Raw genomic sequence first — 25,211 nt, 5'->3', positions numbered from 1 at the left:
GAGTTTTTTTCTAATGTTATAATGTATTTCTTTAACATCTAGTACCATTAAATTGATTCTAAAGTTGGGAGTATGGTAGTATGAATGTGAGTTGTTATTAGTCAGAATAGGAGAATAAAAATAAAATTTAGTAAATTAAAACCTTAGACCTTAGACCTAAGACTTTAAGGGTTGGATGATGTTTATCCAGGTGTCTCACCTGTGAAAGCTGCCATTACCATCATCTTCTTTCATCTTTTGCCCTTGCCATTTTCTGAGAACTCTCCTGCTGTTGACATAATCTAGTTATGATTTCTGCCCATGATAAAATAGGACAAATATGCTCTATCTTTGGCCACCAAGGCAAAGGTTACTGGACCTCCAAGTAGTGCTATCTCCTGCTTTTAATTTCCTATAGAGATTCTAGTAATGTGGCTTCTTTTTTCAGTAATTATGACTCAAAATGTTGACCCATACTTTATTACAGTTTTCCCCCTAAAATGTGGTAAACAAACCTCAGAGACAATTTAAATTATTGGAGGTACAAACATTGCATACCTTGAAACTCTTATTCCTTAGTATACAGATTTGTAAGTTTCATGTACCCATAGTCAATGGATTCTGTGCCACCATTCAGGACGTACCACCATCCACCATTCTGGCTGTACCATCCCCAACACCCACCCCTACCCAAACATGCAATTAAAAAATGTTCCCTCACTTGGAAGACCATTTCCCCTCCAACACACACACACACACACACACACACAGAGAGAGAGAGAGAGAGAGAGAGAGAGAGAGAGAGAGGCAGAGAGAAATGACTTAAGGATCTGGTTTCCTCCCAAGTAGCTGGGACTACAGCCGGCGCCACTACCGGTGATGCACTTCCTAGGGTTTAGAACTCCTGTCTTCTACATCTTTCCCCCAGAGACTCAGTCAATCTATGCATATAGTGAGCAATCAGAAAATGTTCGTGGAATATTGTGGAACGTCAAAAATCACTCTGGGCTCTGTAACCTCGGCTTTCTGTTAAAGATGATGAATCATCACAGGATAATTTCAGCATCCAGAGCCCAGACTGCAATCGGGTTTGCAACTGTCCTAACAAGTAGATTTCACCATCTCTGCCCCGAGGAAGCAGAAGGAACGCAAGAAAATTGACAGCTATGCCTTCGGCCTCCAGCTTCCAAGTCGGCCAGATGATTATTAAAAACACTCCTCAGTCAAGGGCGTCGCTTCGAAACGCAGTGGAGGCTGGGGAGAGTTGCAGAATCCATGCCATCCCGCACCTTTGTCGCCCGCTCTTCTTCGGCGCAGGGCACACCGGGACACCCCGAGCCCAACCACCGTCACCAAGGCAACCAGCCTGCACGCCGTCGTCTTGGAGACCGGCTGGCGCCTCAGTGAGCCGAGCAGAGGGGCCGCCTCCGCCCGCACCCAGCATGCTTCGCCGAGGCTATAAGGCCTCTGAAAGGCGAAGACACTTGAGCGAGAGGCTCAGCTGGCACCAAGACCAGGCGCTGAGTAGCAGCATCTACCTCCTACGAGAGATGGGCCCCACTGGCTTCCTGCTGAGGGAGGAGGAGCCGGAATACATGGATTTCCGAGTAACTACCGCCCCTACCGCCCCCAGTTGGCCATCATCCCCGCCCACCAGGTTCCCCCACTGGCATACCCAATGTGCGTAGCCACCATCACAATCTCTGCGGATACTTGCTGCCTCACCCCCGAAAGCGCCTTCCCACGAGTGTTCCAGACTCTAAAATACGTGAAATTACAGAAGGAAATAGTATTTATTAGAAGTTTCTTTTTTGGAGGTTAAGACCAAACTGCAACTCTTGTAAAAGATGATGGCTCTTGATCTTTAGGCTTGAAAATGTCAGAGGCGTATGAATACCTGGTTGGCATTACATGTGTTCTTGGATCTGTTGTTAGTGGTCCTTAGTCCTGTAAATCAAACGAAATGAAAATTCTACAATCTGCTAGCATACTGTAAATATTTTCTAAATAAATAAATAGGTTTCCCTTTACTCTTTGCTCACTCTGAAACTGTATGAAGGCCCTATTAAAGGATGGTTTAAATGGCAATACCTTGGAAAGATATTAATGAATAAAAATTCAAGTTTACTGAAAGACCACAGATATTTCATAATTGCATATCCCATCCTTAACCACTCAAAAATTAGCCACTGCACTACCTCCTAGGAGTTGACTTACAAAATTTTACGTTAGTGCCGTGAAGTTTAAGAATTGAATGCAATTTACTAGTCTGTGCTTATTTAAAGCATCTTTTTTTACTTTGTTGCTTCAATACTTACTGTATTTAATAGTTTTAGCCAAACTAGTCTTGGTGAATAAATTTTGTCCTCTTGAATAAAATTAAATAAATTCACCGACTCAAATGCACCAAACAAAAATCCAAAATGAGCTACCTTACAAAAGGTGCTTAGCTCCACCCCAAAGTAGAATTTCCTTACTGTGAGGAATTTATGGGTTGATATTTGCTTTTTTTCTTCTCTGACTTTGGGAATTAGATTTATTTTCACCTGCCTAAGGGCAGGTCACTTTAAAACCATCCTAATTTGTTAATTTGCTAACAAAGATAAATAATGAAGCCTAGAGACTAGTATCAAGAATTAAGATTCTCCAGTAGAATCTATTCAACCTTTTTGAATCACCTAAACTAAATTACCTCTTCAAATCTCTTTTATTAACTCAGTTTTGCTCTAACTCTCAAATTTTACTGGTCTTTTTAAGTATGCATTTTTCCTTTAAAGGTTTTTCTAGGAAATCCTCACGTTTGTAACTGTTCCACATTTCCGAAAGGAGGGGAACTTTGTAAGCATATCTGCTGGTAAGTGACTTTTCAAATGAAGATCTTCCATGAAGGAACATCTTGGTGTGTTAAATATTTTGCCTTTGTCATGGTTTCAATAACAACAAAATTAAAGAAATTTGGTGTTTGGGGAATATAAAGTTAAAATGGTCATAGCTTACCAATAAATTTTTCAGTATTTCATTTTATTCTGAAAATTGAATAACATTTAAATTGAGAACCATTTTATAATGTTAATGCTTTTAAATAGAAAAAATCAATTTTAGATTCTCATGTACAAATGTGAAATCTAACTATAAAACGGGGGAAAAATCCTGATCCCATCACTGCTGATAATTATATGGTTCATTTGAGATATTGCTGTGCTTCCACAAATTGTGTTTCCAAAATCACGTTTTCTTGAATATCAAATGTTCCATTTTCTACATGTATACATAGGTTGAAAGTGTTCACCTTTTCCGTATTGGCCTATGGCAGTCAAGTTTCAAAATATTTTCCTTTTCAGTTAACATTTGACTATGAATCACTTTAAATTTTCATGTATTTTTATAAATAGTTCAGGTTATTTATTTTTTATAAAAAGTTCAGGTTTCTTACATGCATATATTGCATAGTGGTGAAGTCTGGACTTATAGTGTACTAATCACCCCAATAGTGAACATTGTACCCAATAAGTGATTTTTCAGCCTTACTCCCTTCCCACCCTCCCAGTTTTTGTAGTCTCTGATGTCTTATTTCACTCTATATGTCCATGTGACCCATTGTTTAGCTTTCACTTACAACTGAGAACATGCAGTATTTGACTTTCTATTTCCGAATTATTTAACTTAGGATATTGGCCTCCAGTTCCATCCATGCTGCTACAAAAGACATGAGTTCATTAATTTTTATGGCTGAGTTCTATTACATTATATATATATATATATGTGTGTGTGTGTGTATATATATATGTTTATACACACATTTTATTAATGTGGTATATTTTTATGCCCACCATTATGGATACTTAGGTTGATTCCGTATCTTTGCTGTTGTGAATAGTGCTGTGATAAACATATGAGTTCAGCTATCTTTTGATATAATGATTTCTTGCCCAGTAGCCATATACCCAGGAATAGGATTGCTGGGTCATGGTAGTTCTATTTTTAGTTTTTTGAGAAATCGCCGTACTGTTTTTCATAAAGGTTGAACTAATTTACATTCCTAGCAATAGTATATAAGCATTCCCCTTTCTCCAGGTCCTTATCGACATTTGTTGTTTTTTGACCTTTTAATAATAGTCATTATGACATGTATAAGATGATATCTCATTGTGGTTATAATTTCCACTTCTCTGATGATTAGTGATGTTGAGCATTTTATTATGTTTGTTGGCCACTTGTATATCTTATTTTGAAAAATGTCTGTTCATGTCCTTTGCCCACTTTTTAATGAGGTTATTAGGTTTTTTCCTGTTGAGTTGTTTCAGTTCCTTATAGATTCAGGATGTTAGCTCTTTGTCAAATACGTAGTTTGCAAATATTTCTTAACATTCTTTAGGTTGTCTGTTCACTCTGTTGATTGTTTCATTTGCTGTGCAGAAGCTTTATAGTTTAATTAAGTCTATTAAACTATTTTTCTTTTTGTTGCATTTTCTTATGAAGACTTGATCATAAATTCTTTGCCCAGGCCAATGTCCAGAAGAGTTTCCTAGTTTTTCTTCAAGAGTTTTTGTAGTTTAAGGTCTCACATTTAGGTCTTTAATCCATCTTGAGTTAATTTTTGTATATGGTGAAAGTTATGAGTCCACTTTTATTCTTCTGCATATGGCTGCAATTTTCCCAGCACTATTTATTGAATAGGATGTTATTTCCCCAGTGTATAATTTTGTTGACTTTAACTATAAATCTTTCAAGATAGAAGTAGAACTCTATTGAAGATTATGTCTATTAAATCTGAAATTTTTCCTCTAGTGTGAGAATCTATTTGTAGGGTAATTGACCTTTAGAAATGAAAAAAAAGTTCCTTAAGCTTAAATACAAATCAACTCATTTTGTTTTGCCTACCTATACTCATACTAACAAATTATTAATATTATTTTAATTTATTTGATAGTTAACATGAAAAAATAAGAAATTAAGAAAAGATTATGACTTACTTTCCCATTTCTAGTGCTTTTCTTTAGAAGTAAAAAAGTTATATAATTATTTCTAATGTTTTTACTAAGTTTTCTGCTCTTTTATTTCGATCACTTTTTATTAAGCATCTAGTAACACAAGTTATTTACTCTAGTTGACATAAAGATAAAATATGGTCCTTTCACAACTTACAATTTGGTATTATGATTATATTTAAAATAGTTTTTTTTCCATTTTCATTTTATGTCAGGGGAAGGGTATTCTCTTTTGATTATTATATAACTCATGTTGTACAATATTGTAACCATTAAGTAAATGGAAATATAATCAAAGTGCTTCATATACTAAAGTATATTTAGTATCTTTGAATAATAATTTAATAGGCATTTCCCACATTTTTTAAAAAGTCGCATTCCATTTTATTGGTAAAATTTAAAAAAAATTTTTTTATATCATGCGTTAGAGAGGTATATGTAGGAAAACAGCCATTTGGTACACTATCCAGAAAATTACTGCCTTTCCAGAGAAGTTTAAAGGCAGTACCATAAAAACCTAAATCCCCTCATTATCCTTTCCCTTTGAATAACTGTATGTCGTAAGAAATACATGGACTCTCTCTGACAAATCTCTTCACACCAAATGTCATTTGTTTTCATTAATCATACTTTTTTCACATATGCTTATTTTAAAACATAAGTTTAACAACTATTATAACAGAAAATTGATGATTTTTAAGTTTATTCATAACACTTTCCATAATATAAATCTTATAATTCAATTTCTATTCTAAATATTTTTAAATGTCTTTTGAGTTTATGCCAAAAATAAATGTCTTGATTTTTTTTCTACTTGTGAATGTTAGGGTCTTGTTGAAAAAATTCAAGCTTCCAAGGAACCATGAATGTAAGTTTTGGGGTTTGGGTTTTTTGTGTTTTTTTTTTATTTTACTACTTTGAAGTTAACAAATATAAGAATGTTTTATTTAACATTTTCTAAATTTAGATGGTTACTTTTCTAGGGAATCGTAACTATCAGTAGCTCAGCTTCTTAAACTTAAGACACTTGGAACATTTTTCATCTTTAAAAAAATGTAACTTTATATGTCATTTTCAAACTCATAGGCACTTAATAAAAACAGGTATGAAACAATGGCCAGTTATTAAGTAGGAAAACATTTATGTATTCTAAGAAAAGGTTACAGTGGTTTCTGTGTCTAAAATTATTTTAATTGTGAGAAAAATAGCAAATGTGATTTTTTTAGATCCCAGAAATAGACTGTTGGCATGGCACATTATTTTATTCAAAAATGTTTGCTGAATGAAATTGTTTTGCTAAACAAAAGCAGAGTAAAATGTAGTTTTTAAGTGAGTACTTAAATTGAGTTTGGAGTCAGTTATATATTTATATAAGTTTAAATTCCAGAGTTCTCAAAAATAAGAGAGAAAGAAAAATAATTGCAATACAGGTCACTTAAATTTGTACATCTTATAATAAAGATACTGTCATTGTCAAAGGGTTAACTGCAGTTAAGGAATTGTTTGACCAATACTAGACCCATCTAACAACTGCATTTTTAAAAGTATTAATAAATGTTTCTGATATTCATGAATAATTAAAGTGATAATTAGTTTTAAATTTTTTCTATTCAAAAAGAATTGGTTTTATTTAGGCAAGTTTATTTCCCCCTAGCTATTATACAATTACAATCACAGTAAACATATTTTAAAAATTATACCAGATAATTAATTACCATTAGTGTTTCACAGGGATTTTCTCTTTTTTCACTCTACATATTTTTTTAGAAATGTCTCCCATTTTCCATGTCTCCAACTGTTAACTCTGTATCAGTGATTCCCAATCTTAGCAGCAGACCAGTATTTCCAGTTGCTTTCTGGGAAGCTCAATTTGGAGGTCCCATGGGCATCTTAAATACTGATTTCTCCATCTGTGCTCCCCTCTTAGATTCCCTACCTCACATACTGGCTTTCCTTTTTATTTTCTCTTCAAAGCTGTAAACCTTGATATTCTCTCTGATTTTTTTCTCTCTCGTCCTCTTCTGCCATGTATCTACCCATACCACAAATCCTGCTTGTTTTACATCCTACATATTTCTCAAGTGTTTCTATTTCTCCATACTCATTCTTACCTTTGTTCCACTTTCCTCAGCCCTTAGTACCATTCTGTGTAGCCTCCTTGTTTCCAATGCCTGAACTTTGCACTTTGTCTTTCACCTTCTAGATAGGCAGATTCTTTCTAAAATGTCAGCCTCTTCTTAAGCCTCTCTCTCAGTCCCTTCATGCGTGATGACTAGGTTGTATGGTTTTATACATATTGTTTTCTTTTTGACTTCTCCATTGTATTCACTGAAGTTAAATGTTGACCCTCTCTCCAAAGTCTTATTCTCTACACTATTCTTCCATATCATTTTCACAAGCTTCAATACTGAGGCTGTCCAATGGAAATATAACATACATATGTAATTTTCTAGTAGCCATATTATAAGAAGTAAAAAGAAACAGGGAAGTAACTTTAATATGTATTTTAACTTAAGCCAGTACATCAAAATATTATTGTGTCAACGTGTAATCAATATAAAAGTTATGAACTATTTTACTTTTTTTATACTGTCTTCAAAATCTAGCATGTTTGTTATACTTACAGTAGATCTCAACTCTGACACTATATTTTCAATGGAAATATTTGATCTGTATATAGACTTCCTCAAAATTTGTAGCTGAAAAATAGATTCACATATCCAAATTGTTACATACTTATACATTTTTCTGTAACTATAGATTATCAGCTTTAAGTTAAAAACTAAATTTTTAATTTAACAAAATTTAAAATTTGTTTTGTCAGTCACACTCGTCAAATTTCAAGTACACAATAGCTACCTGTGGCTAATGGCTACCATATTCAACAGTGCAGTTCTACCCAATTAAATTCAACAAATATTTATTGTACCACATATTAGCTAGGAGCTCTGCTAGGTGCTTTTTATAAATTGAATCGTATGTATTGCTAGTATATGAATGTCTTTTATCTGCAAACACAGCAATTTTGTATTGATCAATTTAATATATTACATTGTATTATTATTCTTTGCACTTATCGAAGACAGCAACCATTCAGTCTACAGTAGGGAATTTTTTAATGTTTAAAATTAATCCTTTATAATTTGAGAGTTTATATTTCCTTCTGAAATAAAGATTTTTTGTGTCTTGTATTTAAAAGAAATTTTAATTAGTAGGCATTGAGAAAATCCCATGTGTACAATGTAATACTAGAGACTAATAATATTCAAAGAAAGTCTTAGCGATCTTAAATTTATCATTTAAATTAAAGCTAGAATAAACATACATGAAAAATAAAGAAAACTATAAATAATTACTCATTAGGATTATGTATAGCGTTTAAATAAGTGTGGAGGGAATGTTACTTGTAATGGAAGAGGAATGTTTTGAACATCATTCAGAGATTCTTTTCTAAAAGGAATCTGGAAGCAATTATCTACATTCCAGTGTTGCATATAAGAAACCTGAGACTCTCTTTTCAAAGACCGACAAAAATGATTATATGGGAATATTATTATGAAAAATGTTAATTTTTGAACACTGAACATTCTTTTATTCACAAACATTTTCCCAAAAAAAGCTAGATTTACCACCTGATAGTTCCTTTTAAATACAATAACTAGTGAATACTATCTTCTTTTTGGAATTAAATAATTATGAATAAAATTAAAACCTCATTAAAGGAAATTTTTCTAAATTCTCACCAGAAAGATGTAAACTTTTTATTTTCTATTTTCCCTTTTATGATTTTATATATATCATAAAACAGCCTAATAGCCTGTCAGAATTCTGTGTTCTGCTTTTATCACACTGTTACCTTATATTTTCATGCTATATAATCTCTGTAATGAAAGTCATTAAAGGCTAGCTAATATTTCACTAAATATGGTATATTATAAGCAATTTAACATTCTTCCACTATTAGGCATTTATTTCTAACTGCTTGTTATATTCTTTGTACGTGAAGCTTTTTGTTCTTTTCAAATATTTCCTTAGCCTAAAGTCTTACTGTGTTTTGGAGTAGAAGTGTTAATATTTTTATGTCTCCCCCCCATGTATTGCCAAATATGTTTTCAGAATACTTTTGCTGATTTACAGTGATTTCAGAAATATGTCAATTTCTTTAAGTTTTATTTGTTTTTTGGATTCATGTTTTTGGCACATTTTAACTATAGTACTTAAGCATACAAAGATATTAACAGCATATTTAAGAAATATGAAAATAAAGACACATAGAAATATTTTGCCATGTTAGTAATATTTCTATAATTTTGGAAAGAAAGCCACACAAAGCAGGAAAAATACCAGATACAAGGTTCAAAGTAATCTATCAATGCCTGGTAAGTTAAATAAGAAAATAGTTTCTATTCTCTGGTATATTTATTTAACATTCCTTTATGGAAGATCTAAAATGCCTTCAAATAACTTTTTTAAATACAAAAGAAATAACATAAGGCAAACAAATAGTAACGTTTATTAGTGTTTATTCAGTCAGTTTTAGTGTCTGTGCTTTATTCTTATTTTAACTCATTTGCCTTTGATGCAAATAAAATTGAACATCTTCCACTGCCTTGTTTACTATTTGTGTTTTATGTGAATTGTATTTTGGCTATTTATTAGGATAAAACTGCAAACATTTCTTAATTATTATAAGCATTACTTTTTTCAAATGTTTTTCTAATCTGCTATAAGTTTTTTCTCTATGGCTTTATTAAATTTTGTTACATATAGGAGTTTTTGTGTTATTAAATTGGATCATCTGTTCTTTTCATGTTTATTGTTTCAACCCTTTAAAAATTGTCTTTCTTCCATAGTATCAATAGTCCTTTGGAGTTTTTTCTGCTCATTTTATTATTTTTGTTCTTTATTATATAATAGCACCAGTGTGTAGTTGTTTTGGTATAAGTTGGAGGTTGGTATTTGGTTTGAGTTAATTTTCTCCATATTGCCACCCAGTTATCTCAGTTAACAGTTATTGGATAATCCTTCTTTTCCTCTTTGTTTAACAATGTTTATTATTTAGAGCATCTCATATATTATTACATTTATTACTTGTACAACACATTGTGATGTCAGTCCCGGTTAGCTGTCTTGCTCTTCTCTTTCAAAATATTCCTGCATAGTCTTATACATTAATTTTTCCGAATTCATTTTAGAAGAGTTTGTTTCTTCCTTTTATTTTCCAATTCACATTTTACCACACAGAACAGTTTGTGGCCAGCTTCTTTTATGAAATTTTATTCTTCAGTATTTCTGCTGCCCCAGTGCATCTTTATTCCCCAAAGCACAATATTTTGTTCTTTATTTTTCTCTCCTTTTTTAGAGAGCAGATGTTGCTGTGTCTTTGTGACAAATAGCCCTTCTTCCGCAAAGTAATGGTTAATTAATGTATGATGCCCTCCCACAGTCCACTTGCCATAACATCTGACAGGGAACTGCGATTTCTGTATTGAAATGTAACTGTGATGTTTTCAGTATTTTAGTGTTTAGTTGGGGGGGGTCTTTCCAGAAAAACAGAGCATTTCATTATCTTGGAAATAATTTTTAATTCATATATATTAAAAAGATACATAAAATCAATAGAAGGCAGGGGACCGATAACAACTAGCATTTAAATTATGACATGTTCAGGAGTAGGAGATGGAAGGGGGAAGCAGCAAAGGGATGGGCCAAGGAATGAAGAATCTAGGATTCCCTGATCAATACTATAGGCACTTAGAACATCATTCCTTTAAGGATTGCAGGATAGAGAAAATACAGAATTCAAAAAATGCACATCCCAATGGTGCAAGCAATATAGTAACTAATAGATTGTCCTGAGAAACACTGACCAAATCTGTTGAGGATAAGACTAATGAGACACGCTTTTGTAGGTACACAAAACAGAAACAGAAAATAGGCACAATTAATTAAGTCTTGCTCTTCCATTATTATTTAATTCACTTATTCATCTAACAAATAATTACAGTAGCTACTCGGATATCAGTTTCCTCCTCATGTATTCATGTCCCATTTATTTTAATATTCTTATATGTTGACAAAATATTTGTTTATGGACTAGTGAACAGGTCGAAGTATAAGACATGATTGTAACACCAATCCAAGGATGAACACTATCATATTCAAGTGCACTGTTTGCATTGACTCTTTTTCAGTTACAAGAAAAAATAATAATTTTTATATTTTTTTAAATGACTCTTTTCTGACATTTTGGCTCTGAAAAAAATGTAAAGAAGGGGTCAATGTCAGTGTGATAATTCAATCAAAACTGTCTCTCTGATATTTGAAAGAAAATTCTAACTTTCAGCATAAGTTGTTACCTCTCTGTAGCTCCAATTTTATGACTGGATTTTAATACTTTGGGATTTCTCACTAGCTGCTTTACAACTGGGTCTTGGAGAAAGAGAGATAAGTGACTTGCTTCGGGGGATACATCGAGTTCAAACTCCCCAACCAGGAACAAATGACGAAAATGAACATGTTGAAGAAGATGGGTACATTAAACAGAAGGAAATTGATTCAGAGGATATCTGCTCTATTTGTCAAGAGCTACTTTTAGAGAAAAAGCTTCCTGTCACCTTTTGCAGGTGATGTACTTTTTCTTTAGATTCTTAAAACTAATTAAAAATTCTAAAACATATTTCTGATTTATTACCTTAGGAGACATGATAGGGAAAAAATAGACAACTTTACCTACTGCTAATTTATACTTAATTAACATTCTTTTATTTCCTAACACACACACATATATATAATATATATAATATAAATATATTATAATATATTACAATATAAATATAATATCTATAATATATAAATATATATCATAGAAATATATATATTATATATAACATATATGTTAGGAAGCAACATATATATGTGTGTGTATATATATGTTTTGAGCTAAATATATGCTCTTACTCTAAATCTTTCTGAGCTACACTACAAGGGTAAAAACTGAAACATAATTCCACAATTATTCCTCTTCCCACCTTAAGTAACAAGGGTAGAGTAATTTCTGTGTTTTTATTTTATACACATGAATAAATGTGATGGTTTATTATAGTTATAAAGACTTTTCTGAAAGTAAAGATTATTTTACTTTGAAATTACAAAAATTATTTTTAGTTTTTCAAAATTCTATCTTTAAACCTAAATAATTCAATTTTCACATATGTACAAATCTTTTTTTTTTTTTACTCATTAATGCCAACAATAATATTTCTTTCATCCCTTTCATTCTGTCTACATAACCAATTCTTGTTTTGTTAGACCTCAGATCAGCTGTCTACTTTTATTTTATTTTATTTTTAATTTTTTTATTATACTTTAAATCTTTATTGAGAGTCTAATGTTCATACTTTTCTTCACAGCACTATAAAGTTGGACTTGAAAAATTTGGACAGTCATTTTCCATTGCAATTTTTTTCTCCTGATCATTCTTTTTTCTTCTGATAATTTAACAAAACTTTTGTCCACACTGTAGTTGTTCATGTGTCTGCTTCTATTGCATATTGTAAAATTATTAACTACTTTCCAAAATGGTATTTCTCTCAGCAGATATTTCTTTGGTACTACCATGTATTGTGTGACTTCTGGAAAAGTATGGTGGCACCCCTGCTCTCAGTGAAGCATTTTATTAAAATAATAATAATTATTATTCTCCTTTGTGTTAAGCCTATATTCATTCTCACTTTACAAATGAAAATATTTTAATGATGCAAAATCTTTCACCATTTCATTGGAATGAAGGAAAATTTAAGTTTGGAATTCTGATGTATTAAAGATGATAGATTACTAGAATGAGTGAGTGTGTGTGTGTAATCAAGCTATAGCTGAAAATCAGTTCAGAATCTATTTTTTTGTGGAATAAAGATGGTAGCACAGGAAATTTTATTTATATAAATATATATATAATATATATATATATATACAATGGATATGTAAAACTGCTCTATACAAATGGTAAACTTCAATTTTATCTCTCATAGGTTTGGCTGTGGCAATAGTATTCATATAAAATGCATGAAGATCTTAGCTAATTATCAGAGTACATCAAACACTTCCATGTTGAAATGTCCTCTGTGCAGGAAAGAGTTTGCACCATTAAAACTGATTTTGGAGGAATTCAAAAACTCTAGCAAACTAGTAGCTGCAGCAGAAAAAGAGAGACTGGACAAACACCTTGGGATTCCCTGTAATAACTGCAAACAGTTTCCAATTGAGGGGAAGTGTTATAAGTAAGTGTTATCCGTAAATTATAAGCATGTGTTCTTTTTTATTTTTTTACATCAGGAAACTTTGAGCATTAGAGTACCCGTTCTGTAGCCTCCCTCTTCCTGCATATACTGTTTGACTTGTGTGACGACTGCTTATTTAGGACTCACAGACTGACTTCTATCTCAGTCCAGTATCTCAGGAACTCCAATCGTTTTATTTTCTTCTCCTGTTCAAGGGTATTGGTTTGAGCTCTGGTCCAGATTGGGTCTGAAGTAGCACCCCATCCTAGAAGCTCTGGACACAGGATAGGTGGCTTTAGCCTACATAGGTTTCCAAGCTTAGAGCCTTGCTGGATCTCTCACCCTCTGTAACTTTCTTTGAACTACCTTTGAAGTCATTGCCAAAAATTCCGAAGATTGGGCCAGAGAGACATTGACTGGATTGACTGAATATTTAATCCAGTCCCCCCTACTCCAAATGGCAATGAGTACAGGTTTTGTTTTATTTCATATCTTATACTTCAACAACTACAAAAACATAGTAATTATTAGAGCAAACAATTTTCACTGTGAGTAACCCCCAAACTTTCCCACAATTCTCACGATAAAACATAAATTAATTGCTATGCCTAGGAAATTTGTATTTTCTTAATTAAAATTTTAAGTTAACAGTACATTAAGAAGAAAACATTATTTCAATCTTTGTCACATTTTTTTGAAATGTATCAGTTTATTTTTCAGCCTTCTTGAATTACATTATGATGAGCCCAATCTAATTTATATATATATTAAAACTCTGTCATAAAACCGTAAAACATTATCACATCCAACAGCAAATTATACCTTTCTCCTTTGAATTTAGTTTTGTTTTCTGTATGTGTAACACAAAAGAAAGTTGATTATTAACAAAAGTATTTACTGGAAAATGGCTGGCCTGAGAAGGCTCCTAGGGAGGATTCTAACTTGGGGTGGAAGTACAGAATTTTTATAAATTTTTAATAAGGGATATTCAGCTAGGTTCAGGAATGTTGGTCAAAGAGGATTCCAGGAAAAGGAAGGACTTGATCTTTGGTATTAGCAGCCATCGTATGGGCATTTAAATTTTCTCAAGAGGGGTGGATAGGACCAGTCATGGAGGGGATAAGGTCACATGTAAAAGTGGGGGCTGGGACATGTGGGGGAACAAGGACATGTGAGGGCCACAGTGTAAAATTCTCAGTGCTTACAATCAATGTTCCCCAAATGGTTTACAGGCAGCTTTAGTACAAATATTGCTTAGGTATGTTGTTGATGACAGTGCACTCCTGTCACTCAGAGCTTTCTGACTGCTCTTTCTGTCCTGGGGCATTATTCTTCCTACTAAGTAAACACATGGCCCACTATCCTGCCCCCTGCCCACTAGTGACCCTACACTCCCCTTTGAGAATCTTTTCTTGTCTCATAACTTCTCCTCTACGGATCTGGCTAACAATTACTCATCTCTGTCTCCATTCTCTTTTACAAATTAAAGAATGCATTTTCAATGTGTGTGACTCCATCCATCTTCCATTCCCTTGAGTACTGACATTTCAGTCATCAGTCTGAAAAACTATTTCCATTTCCTTTAGGAACACATTGAGTAGGAGACAAGATTAACTAGAAAGTTTCTTCATTCCTTCTTCATCAGAATTTCAGAATTTAACTACTTCATCTTTTAAGAGGTTAATTCCGAAATTACTAGATATATGTTAAAATACAGAGATGCTTAACTTTTTTTAGCCCAGCATACTTTGATGTATTGAATAAATGGCACCATTTGTCCAACCCATTGGTGTTAATTATTAAAATCTTCCCTGTATGTACAAAGAGTAATAATGAATAAATTAGCAGTTGCTTCTTTTAAGATGTCTGAGGGACATATTTTCTTAAATTTCTCATGGCAATAATCTTCTAAATATTTGATAACTTGAATAATAAGTTTACTTGACTACTGCTCAGAATATTTTCAGTTTGGTAAATTATGTTGCAAGTAATTTAAAATCCTCTACTTGTGACAAAATTTTTATAAACAATATAACCTTGAGATTGGGCTTTTATGGAAAGTGGGTTTTTTTGACTTGTCAATAGTTTTTATTGAGATCTTTTATATGTTTACCTTTTTCCATTCTGTGGGGAAAAAATAATATAATTTTTATTTTCAAGAAGTATGCTGCCAACTCTAACTCTGGCATTCATGAAACAACTGGAAAGCAGCACTGGATAATCAAATGACAGAATATCTAATAGACTGTACATCCTGTAAGAATGTAGAGAAAGAGGTAAATGAAAGCTAAGGTAGTCTGAGAAGGCATCATGGAAGGGGCATGTGGTAGACAAAATAATGGACTTCCTAAAACGTCCACATCCTTACGCCCAGAACTTGTATGTCATAGAGGAATTAAGGTTGCAGATGAAATTAAGGTTTCTAATCACTGACCTTGAAATAAAGAGGTTATCCTGGATTGCTTGGATAAGTCTTGTATAATCATACAGGTTCTTAAAAGTAGAAGAGGGAGGCAAGAAAGTCAGAGGGAAATGTGACTGTGGAAGAAAGGCAGAGAGATGCTACGTTGTTTGTTTTGAAAATGGAGGAAAAGGGTCACAAGCTAATAAATGTAGGCAGTCTCTAGAACAGCAGTCCTCAAACATTTTGGCACCAGCGACCAGTTTTTTGGAAGACAATTTTTCCATGGGGGTTATTGGGGGATGGTTTCAGGATGAGACTGTTCCACCTCAGATCATCAGGCATTAGATTCTCATAAGGAGCACACAACCTAGATCTCTCATGTGCGCAGTTCACAATAGGGTTCACACTCCTATGAGAATCTGATGCCACCGCTGATCTGACAGAAGGAGGAGATTTGCTCTCCCACAATTCACCTCCTGCTGTATGTCCCGGTTCTGAACAGGCCACAGACCAGGTCAGCGCCTGGGGTTGGGGACCCCTACTCTAGAAGATGGAAAGAGCAAGGAAATAGATTCTCCCCTAGAGCCCCCTAAAAGTAACACAGCCCTGCCAACCCCTTGGTTTTAACACATTGAAACTCATCTCAGACTTCTATCCAATGGAACTGTAAGATAATACATTTGTGCAGTTTAAGTTAAGTTTGTAGTAAATTTTTACAGCAGCAACAGGAAACTAATACACAGTGTGACTTGAGGTGAACCTTGTCATGTTTGGATTGTTCCCAGGAAGTTTTGGTCAGAATTTTTCACCCAAAACCATCACAATAATTGGATTTTTTTTTCTTGCGTGTTTTGATGTTTTGTATTTTTAGGTGTACCGAATGCATAGAATATCACTTATGCCAGGAATGTTTTGATAGCTGCTGCCATCTTTCCCACACGTTTACATTTCGTGAGGTACAGTATCCATCTTGAATCTAATACAGTGTTTCTATTTGTCCTGTTGTAGAGCTAAGTCAGTGTAAGAATAAGAAGAATACATAACACTGTGGAACAGAGCTGATTGGTTTTTAATACAAACCTAAAGCCATATTTTTAGGAGAACTCTTTTTCATAAGGATGCACAAAGCAACCAGTTCTTACACTGGTAATTTATAAAATCTAATACTATAAGAAACATCTGATGACATTATGAATAAATTTTCAGAACAGAAATTATAGCCATCAAACTTGAACATTAGTTTTTAAAAAGCTCTCAACATTACAAATTGGCTTATAACGTAAAACCAAAACATTTATGATTTTCTCTTAAATTTTCTTACATAAGCAATAATGAAACATGGAACTTTACTGGGATAATTTAAACCGTACACTTAAAAAGTATCTCCTGATGCTGAATAATAACACTACCTTCTACTTACCAGACAAGATAAAATAAAACATACACAATTATTGTTATTTTTTACCTTAAAAAGTAATGCCATTATAGTAGCTATGCAATACAATATGAGACTAATAATTTGTAAGTACTTTAACATGTTGAAAAATAATATATATGCTTAAAATATTGTGTATTGTTCACATTATTGATACGCAACCAACTAATTTTTCTCCACAAAATGAAAATATCCACGACTTTGCAAAGTAACATCTACTTTTACCTATTACAGAAAAGAAACCAAAAATGGAGATCACTAGAAAAAAGAGCAGATGAAGTTGTAAAATACATAGATACTAAAAATGAGATTGAAGAAAAGATGTCACATTTTCAAGAAAAGCAAGGGTGAGGTTCCCAGTAAATTTTATATTTGTTGTATGACAGAATCTTTGAATAACTTCTCAATTTGAATAAGTTTTATTTATTCTTTTATTTATTATTTAATTATTATTAAGCACTTAGATACTAGGTGGCATTGTACCATCCAGTTGAAGAGCAGGGCTGTAGAGTAAGACTGCTTGAATCCAATCATAGTTCAACTACACATTGGCTATGTGGCTTGTGGACTAGTTACTTCACTTCTATCTGCCACATTTTCCTCATCTTTAAAATGGGAATAATTGTTAAAACCAACCTTGTAGGAATTTTGTGAGTATGAAATGAGTTAACAAACACAATAAATATTCAAATAATGTTATCTATTATTTTTAATTTGACCAGAAACTATACTAGATATGAGGGATACAGTAGTTTCCTCAGTAATCAAATAATCATCGACATAAATGTAAAATTGAAACTGACATCAGTTATGTTTAAATAAAAAACAGATTCAAAGATATTTGAAATTTGCATTTGAAATAATTGGCCTTTGGGGGAAGAAAGTCTTTTTTGCTTCATTCCCCCTCTCTCTACCCTCTACTTCACCCTGTTGGAAGAAGAGTGCCTAGCAGATTGGTTATATTTCAGAACATTGATTAAGAACATTATTAGTGGAGAGGTCTCCAGACCTTTTGCAATAGTCCTGTTCAATTACAGAAAATTTAGGCCGGGCGCTGTGGCTCACGCCTGTAATCCTAGCACTTTGGGAGACCAAGGCAGGTGGATCACCTGAGGTCAGAAGTTCGAGACCAGCCTGGCCAACATGGTGAAACCATGCCTCTACTAAAAAAAAAACAAAAAAAAATTAGCGGGGTGTGGTGGCACATACCTGTAATCCCAGCTACTCGGGAGGCTGAGGCAGGAGAATTGCTTGAACCTGGAAGCCGGAGGTTGCAGTGAGCCAAAATGGCAATTCTGTACTCCAACCGAGGCAACAGAATGAGACTCCATCTCAAAAAAAAAATAGAAAAGAAAGAAAAAAAGAAAATATAGCATGTTGTATAATGTTAAAAGATTGTGTACATTATGAAACACATAGAAAAGAGACAACTTTTTTTTATTATTATACTTTAAGTTGTAGGGTACATGTGCACAACGTGCAGGTTTGTTACATATGTATACATGTGCCATGTTGGTGTGCTGCACCCATTAACTCGTCATTTAGCATTAGGTATAACTCCTAATGCTATCCCTTCCCCCTCCCCCACCCCACAACAGTCCTCGGTGTGTGATGTTCCCCTTCCTGTGTCCATGTGTTCCCATTGTTCAATTCCCACCTATGAGTGAGAACATGCGGTGTTTGGTTTTTTGTCCTTGCGATAGTTTGCTGAGAATGATGGTTTCCAGCTTCATCCGTGTCCCTACAAAGGACATGAGCTCATCATTTTTTATGGCTGCATAGTATTCCATGGTGTATATGTGCTACATTTTCTTAATCCAGTCTATCATTGTTGGACATTTGGGTTGGTTCCAAGTCTTTGCTATTGTGAATAGTGCCGCAATAAACATACGTGTGCATGTGTCTTTATAGCAGCATGATTTATAATCCTTTGGGTATATACCCAGTAACGGGATGGCTGGGTCACGACTTTTTAAGCATGGGATAAAATAGAAACTAAAAGTAATAATTTCAGTGAATCAACTAAACAAAAAATGTGCTTGTTCTCATTAAATATATATATATAATATATATTTATACACATGCCTATAATACACCTGTACCCCCACACACGTATACATACACATGTATATGTAAGTTTGTATCCAGACTTCAGTTGATATATAGCCCATGCCCATGGGTACTCCACACACATTGGAAACCAGAGCTCTTGTGGGGCGTAAAATGAGCCTATACAAAGGCTTTGCAACTCCATTTTCCCTGCACAAGCATCATACTTCATCCTGTTAGAATGCTAAGTTGTATAACTAACGGTTGGACTTAGGAGATATTGGGGGACAGGGAGTTGAGAAGGAGAACATTAGGAGAAGAAGGACATTTTAGGCAGAGAAAATGGAATAAGTAAGAGAATTTCAGGATAAGAAACAGTAGGTAACAACCTTAAAAGAGTACTAAAAATATACATTTTAATTGAAATTAGAGGACCCTGGTAAAAGCAATTTCTGTAATATGGTGAGGATATATCTGTAGAGTAATGAGAAGTACAAACTTTTCTGAAGAATATATTTGAACTTTGTTCTGAATGACTTTTGAATGATAGGAATGCATCTGACCTTTTAACCAAGCTTTTTTTTCTCTTAAAGATTTGTTGTTCTGTTTTACCAGTTGGAGTGGCATCAAATAGCAGTTAATTCATAGTATACCATCTTAGTTATGTCAGTATGTTTGGTACAAAAAAATGGAGCTGGTACTTTTAGAGTTAGACTATTAACATAGTCTAACAGTATTGAAGTGGTAAGAATATACCCCAGATGAAAACAAATTTCCTTATCTCTTATGATCTACCAATTTATCATAGTAGCCTGGAATATTTAATGTGGCTTACCATACCCTTCACTTCCTACCAGAAGACAGAGTAAATTGGGTTGTATTTTTCTAAACACTTGCCTAATTGTTGGCTCAGACTAAAATATTATAATTTGAGTATATGGTCTGATTTTATTGACATTAAAGTGCGACTCAAACTCAAAAATTTTAGGTTAGCATTTTTATTTGATGTGACTACTTAAAACTTTTTTTTCTCTTTGAGGTGAAGTCTCACTGTGTTGTCCAGGCTGAAGTACAGTGCCGTGATCTCGGCTCACTGCAACCTCCACCTCCTGGGTCCAAGGGATACTCCTGCCACAGCCTCTTGAGTAGCTGTGATTACAGGCACCTGCCACCATGCCCGGCTAATTTTTCTATATTTTTATTAGAGATGGGGTTTTGCCATGTTGGCCAGGCTGGTCTCAAACTCCTGACCTCAGGTAATCCACCCACCTCAGTCTCCCAGAAGTGCTGGGATTACAGGCGTGAGCCATCATGCTCAGCCAAAAACTTTGTTCTTTATGAAGTTGGATCCATATTGTTCAGGATCAATAAAATAGATTTTTTTAACTTTATAATATATGAGATTTATTATCTTTAGTTCAAGAAAACCTAGGGTTCGATTGCATTATTTATATAGAGACTATTTACCTGTGCTATTGATCACTTCCTGATCTATAATAACATGTAAACACTCATGTCTCTGCTTATTCTCATTCAGCCAAGTTTACACACCAAAACACATTGTAAGATCACTGCCTCTCCAACTGATTACTAAGAATAGTAAGCTGCTTGCTCCAGGCTACCAGTGTCTACTTTGTTTGAAGGCATTTCATCTTGGTCAACATACAAGATTGCTACCATGTACTCACAAGGTAAAAGTCACATCATTTTAGTTTTACTTTCCCTGTAGGGTCAGTTTTCACAAATGAAGTGACAATTTAAGTCTGTCCTTTTACTTTTGAGTTGTGCTCTGTACAGAGGTGTTCACATTGCACAGCACATATAGAAAGAACTACCACAGAGACTATCGAGAAGGCAGCTTTCTCCCTGAGGATGTCTTTATATTAATTAGTACTCATTTCTGTATATACTATCTAGGAAAGATAAAATGGTACTTTAAGTTAGATTCCTTTATCTACTTTAGTTATCTGTAAAAAGAAAAAAGGTTATAGAATACTAATATTTTGCTATGTATTTTTATGATTCTTAAGATGAAACAGAAATGCCTAAGTTGACATAATTATTATTTCACATGAACTCATTAGAATCAGCATAATACTACTTGATCACTATATAATTGATAAGCAACTATATAGTGGTTGATAACCAACTTTTTTTCTGAAATGAAGTTGGTTCAGTAAACAAACAAAGCTTCAGTAATAAAGCTTTAGAGTCATCCTTAGTTAAAATGGCTAATTGTTTTATTTTCAAAAACTTAATTTGTTATTTTATATTTTACTGTTATCAGATCCATTTTCAACCCCAGTTGGTTATGACTTTTAAAATAATTTTCATTAGAAATAAGTAGCAGTGAAATGAATAACTTTAAGTAGAGAATTTTTAACAAAATTACAAATGCTATCCATAAAAGTCTTTGCATTTTAATATCGAAAATGGAAATCAGTCCCTACATAGTTATATTTAGAAGTTAACTTCTTCAAAATATTTTCATAAAACTTGATAAATAATTATTTTTCAATTTTGCTAAATATTTTTAATCATAAAATTATGAAACTGGGGGAAATTTACTTGAATAATATTATAAACAAGATTGGTATAGTTCTGATTAGCTTACCTTTTTTTTAAAGTTTCACAGGAAGTGTATTGACAACTGGTTATTCCACAAGTGCAATTCATGCCCTATTGATGGACAAGTTATATATAACCCTTTAACTTGGAAAAATTCAGCAGTGAATGGACAAGCACATCAGTCTGTTTCAAACAGAGACATCATTCATCTATCAAAGCAGAAAGAACCAGATCTTTTTATTCCTGGTACTGGATTAGTCTTAAAACAAAATAGACTTGGAATTTTACCTAGCATACCTCAGTGTAATTTTGATGAATTGAATACACCTCAAAGCCCAAAAGATGCCTATGAAAATACAACAATAGATAATCTATGCTCTATCAAATTAGATAATTCAAATTCAAAAAAATTAACCTATGATTATAAAATTAGCCAACATTTTCCCAGGTATCTTCAAGATTTACCCACTGTGTCATTTGGGAAAATACCATCTCAAACACTGCTTCCTCCTATTGTTCATAAGAATATTGTGTGTCCCACTGCAATGGAAAGTCCATGCATCAGTGGAAAATTTCACACTAGTCTAAGCCGGATGACCAAAGGCTGTAAATGTAATAACCACAACCTAAAGAAGACTCCTGCCACTAAAATAAGAGAGGACAACAAGAGATCAACTTTACTTCCAGAGGATTTCAATCTTATTGTCAATTGGAGCACAGCTAAACTTAGTTTGTCTAAAAGGTATAGTAACTGTATGGGGGAAATTACACGAAAATGTAGTCATCTATCAAGACAGCCTGTGTCTCACTCTGTAAATACAAAAAGTACTGAGCTATCTTTAATAATAGAAGGAGTTCAATTGTGAAAAAGTTTACTATCTGAAAATATTTGAATGTTGAATATAAAAAAATGTTTTATATAGAACATAAAAAGCACACATAGTCTTGACAAATGTATATAAAATTCTCTGTTGGAATTTGCCTACTTACCTATAAACAGCTCACTACACTTAAAGGAAATGATTCTATTACTTATATGACTTACAGCATTAGGTGTCTTCATGAATATATTCAGGATGTTATAAATAATGAATAATTTTTAGAGCCTTTATCTTATTTTACTCTGATTTTAGAAATGTTTTACTTAAATTAAGGAAATAGATTTTTCCTACTTTGAGTCACTGTTTTCAAATATTTTTCACGGTAGCACATAACATGCAGGGATTACTCCCCGGTACTTCTGTATTTTTTGCATTTTTCTTGCACTAGTAATTACCACAAACCTATAAAAAAAAACCTTAAAAAACTCCATAAAGGAGTTTTCTTATACATAAAATGAAAATAAAATGAAATACTATCAGCTATGTCACATTTATAATGGTCTTAATGTTTTATTTTCAAGAAACTTATATAAGTACTACCAAATTTCTTGATACAATCACTATTATCGAAGAATCTGTTATTTAAAATCTGCTCTATTTTCAAAGTAACTATTGTTTCAAAATGTTCATTTGAAAAAATGTAACCCTTAGATTTTTGTTTATTTTTAAATTATATGGCTCAGTTTCTTTTCAAATATTTTTAAAATTATTGATGCTATATTGATTTTTATTATCTGTCACAAGGAAAAAATATCACATGATATTTTTTATCATGGTAATAATGGAATACATAGGTCTATGAAACAAATATTGAAGATATCAAGCAAAATTCTTTGAAGAGAATTTGCATTTAAATAAGTGATTAAATTGAGGTTAATCACAAACAGAAAGTAATTAATAAAATGTAGTTCAGAAACAGTAACAGAGTTAATTATAATATGAGCTGCATTTGAAAATTGAATGAAAGTTTGTCTTGCTTCTGACATAAAGATGGATGGCCAAATATATTTGTCAGCAATTCAGAATTTTATTAGCCTACTTGTCTTGAAAGATAGAGTTAAGGAAACTGCAAAATAATTTTCCAACTAATAAAATATTATTTATGTTCCCATAGATATTTCACTCTCCTTATTTATTTTTTAATCTTTTTCATGAACGTAAATTTTAAGTACCAGGGTACATGTGCAGGATGTGCAGGTTTGTTACATAGGTAAACAAGTGTTGTGGTGGTTTGCTACACAGATCAACCTATCACCTAGGTATTAAGCCCAGCATCCATTAGCTATTCTTCCTGATGCTCTTCTTCCCTCTGCCCCCAAGACAGGCCCCAGTGTGGGTTGTTCCCCACCAGGTGTCCATGTCTTCTCATCATTCAGCTCTCACTTATAAATGAGAACATGCAGTGCTTGGTTTTCTGTTCCTGTGTTAATTTCCTGAGGATAATGGCTTCTGGCTCCATTCATGTCCCTGCAAAGGACATGATCTCATTCCTTTTTATGGCTGCATAGTGTTCTATGGTGTATACGTACCACATTTTCTTTATCCAGTCTATCATTGATGGGCATTCGAGTTGATTCCCAAATCAACCAATTGCGATTGTGAATAGTGCTGCAATGAACATTCATGTGCATGTATCTTTATAATAGAATGGCTTGTATTCCTTTGCATATATACCCAGTAATGGAATTGCTGAGTCAAATGGTATTTTTGCTGCTAGATCTTTGAGGAATCGCCACAGTATCTTCCACAATGGTTGAACTAATTTACACTCCCAACAGTGTAAAAGCATTTCCTTTTCTCCACAACCTCACCAGCATCTGTTGTTTCTTGACTTTTTAATAATCATCATTCTGGCTGGCATGAGATGGTATCTCATTGTGGTTTTGATTTGCATTTCTCTAATGATCAGTGATGTTAAGCTTTCTTTCATATGTGTTGGCCACATGAATGTCTTCTTTTGTGAAGTGTCTGTTCATGTCCTTCGCCGACTTTTTAATGGGATGGTTTGTTTTTTTTTTTTTTCTTGTAATTTTGTTTAAGTTCCTTGTAGACTCTGGATATTAGACCTTTGTCAGGTAGATTGCAAAAATTTTCTCCCATTCTATAGGTTGTCTGTTCACTCTGATGATAGTTTATTTTTCTGTGCAGAAGCTCTTTAGTTTAATTACAACCCATTTGTCAATTTTTGCTTTTGTTGCAGTGTTTTTGTTATTAAATCTTTGGCCGTGCCTATGTCCTGAATGGTATTGCCTAGGTTTTCTTCCAGGGTTTTTATGGTTTTAGGTTTTATGTTTAAGTCTTTAATCCATCTAGAGTTAATTTTTGTAGAAGGTGTAAGGAAAGGGTCCAGCTTCAATTTTTTGCATATTGCTATCTAGTTCTCCCCGCCCCACTTATTAGATAGGGAATCCTTTCCCCATTGCTTGTTTTTCACTCTTCTTTTTAAAAGAACCCTTCAAAAAGGATAGACAGTGTTTTAGGAAAAAAAAAAATATATATATATAGGGCTATCAACGGTAAAAAGTTGGAATGCTAATTGAGACAATGCCATAAAATTCATTTTTTAGTTATGAGAAAGATATAATATGGATACTATTCTCACGCTAGTCAAACTGGTTAATGATCATT

The 25,211-nt window shown here is 33.3% G+C and overlaps 1 protein-coding gene across 3 annotated transcripts; it reads left to right on the top strand.

The window, feature by feature from the left end:
• Positions 1-1,381: 1,381 nt before the first annotated feature.
• ZSWIM2 (zinc finger SWIM-type containing 2) lies at positions 1,382-23,077 on the top strand. Of its 3 annotated transcripts, NM_182521.3 has the most exons (9): positions 1,382-1,586; positions 2,757-2,833; positions 5,795-5,835; positions 11,383-11,593; positions 12,998-13,246; positions 16,522-16,606; positions 17,320-17,432; positions 20,672-20,825; positions 21,762-23,077. In NM_182521.3, exons 1-9 carry the CDS (start codon positions 1,422-1,424, stop codon positions 22,566-22,568), a joined length of 1,902 nt encoding a protein of 633 aa, NP_872327.2. In that variant the 5' UTR covers positions 1,382-1,421; the 3' UTR covers positions 22,569-23,077. The 3 variants fall into 3 exon arrangements, 2 of the variants coding, with proteins under 2 accessions (NP_872327.2, XP_047299451.1); XR_922871.2 differs by lacking the exons at positions 17,320-17,432; positions 20,672-20,825; positions 21,762-23,077 and adding an exon at positions 15,407-15,522; XM_047443495.1 differs by lacking the exons at positions 16,522-16,606; positions 20,672-20,825; positions 21,762-23,077 and having other exon boundaries at positions 17,320-17,426.
• The last annotated feature ends 2,134 nt before the right edge of the window (positions 23,078-25,211 follow it).

Source organism: Homo sapiens, chromosome 2 (genome assembly GCF_000001405.40).
Source record: "Homo sapiens chromosome 2, GRCh38.p14 Primary Assembly".
In the NCBI taxonomy this organism is placed as follows: Eukaryota; Metazoa; Chordata; class Mammalia; order Primates; family Hominidae; genus Homo; species Homo sapiens.
Note: the sequence above shows the minus strand (reverse complement) of the source record. Positions and strands in the feature narration are given on the sequence as shown.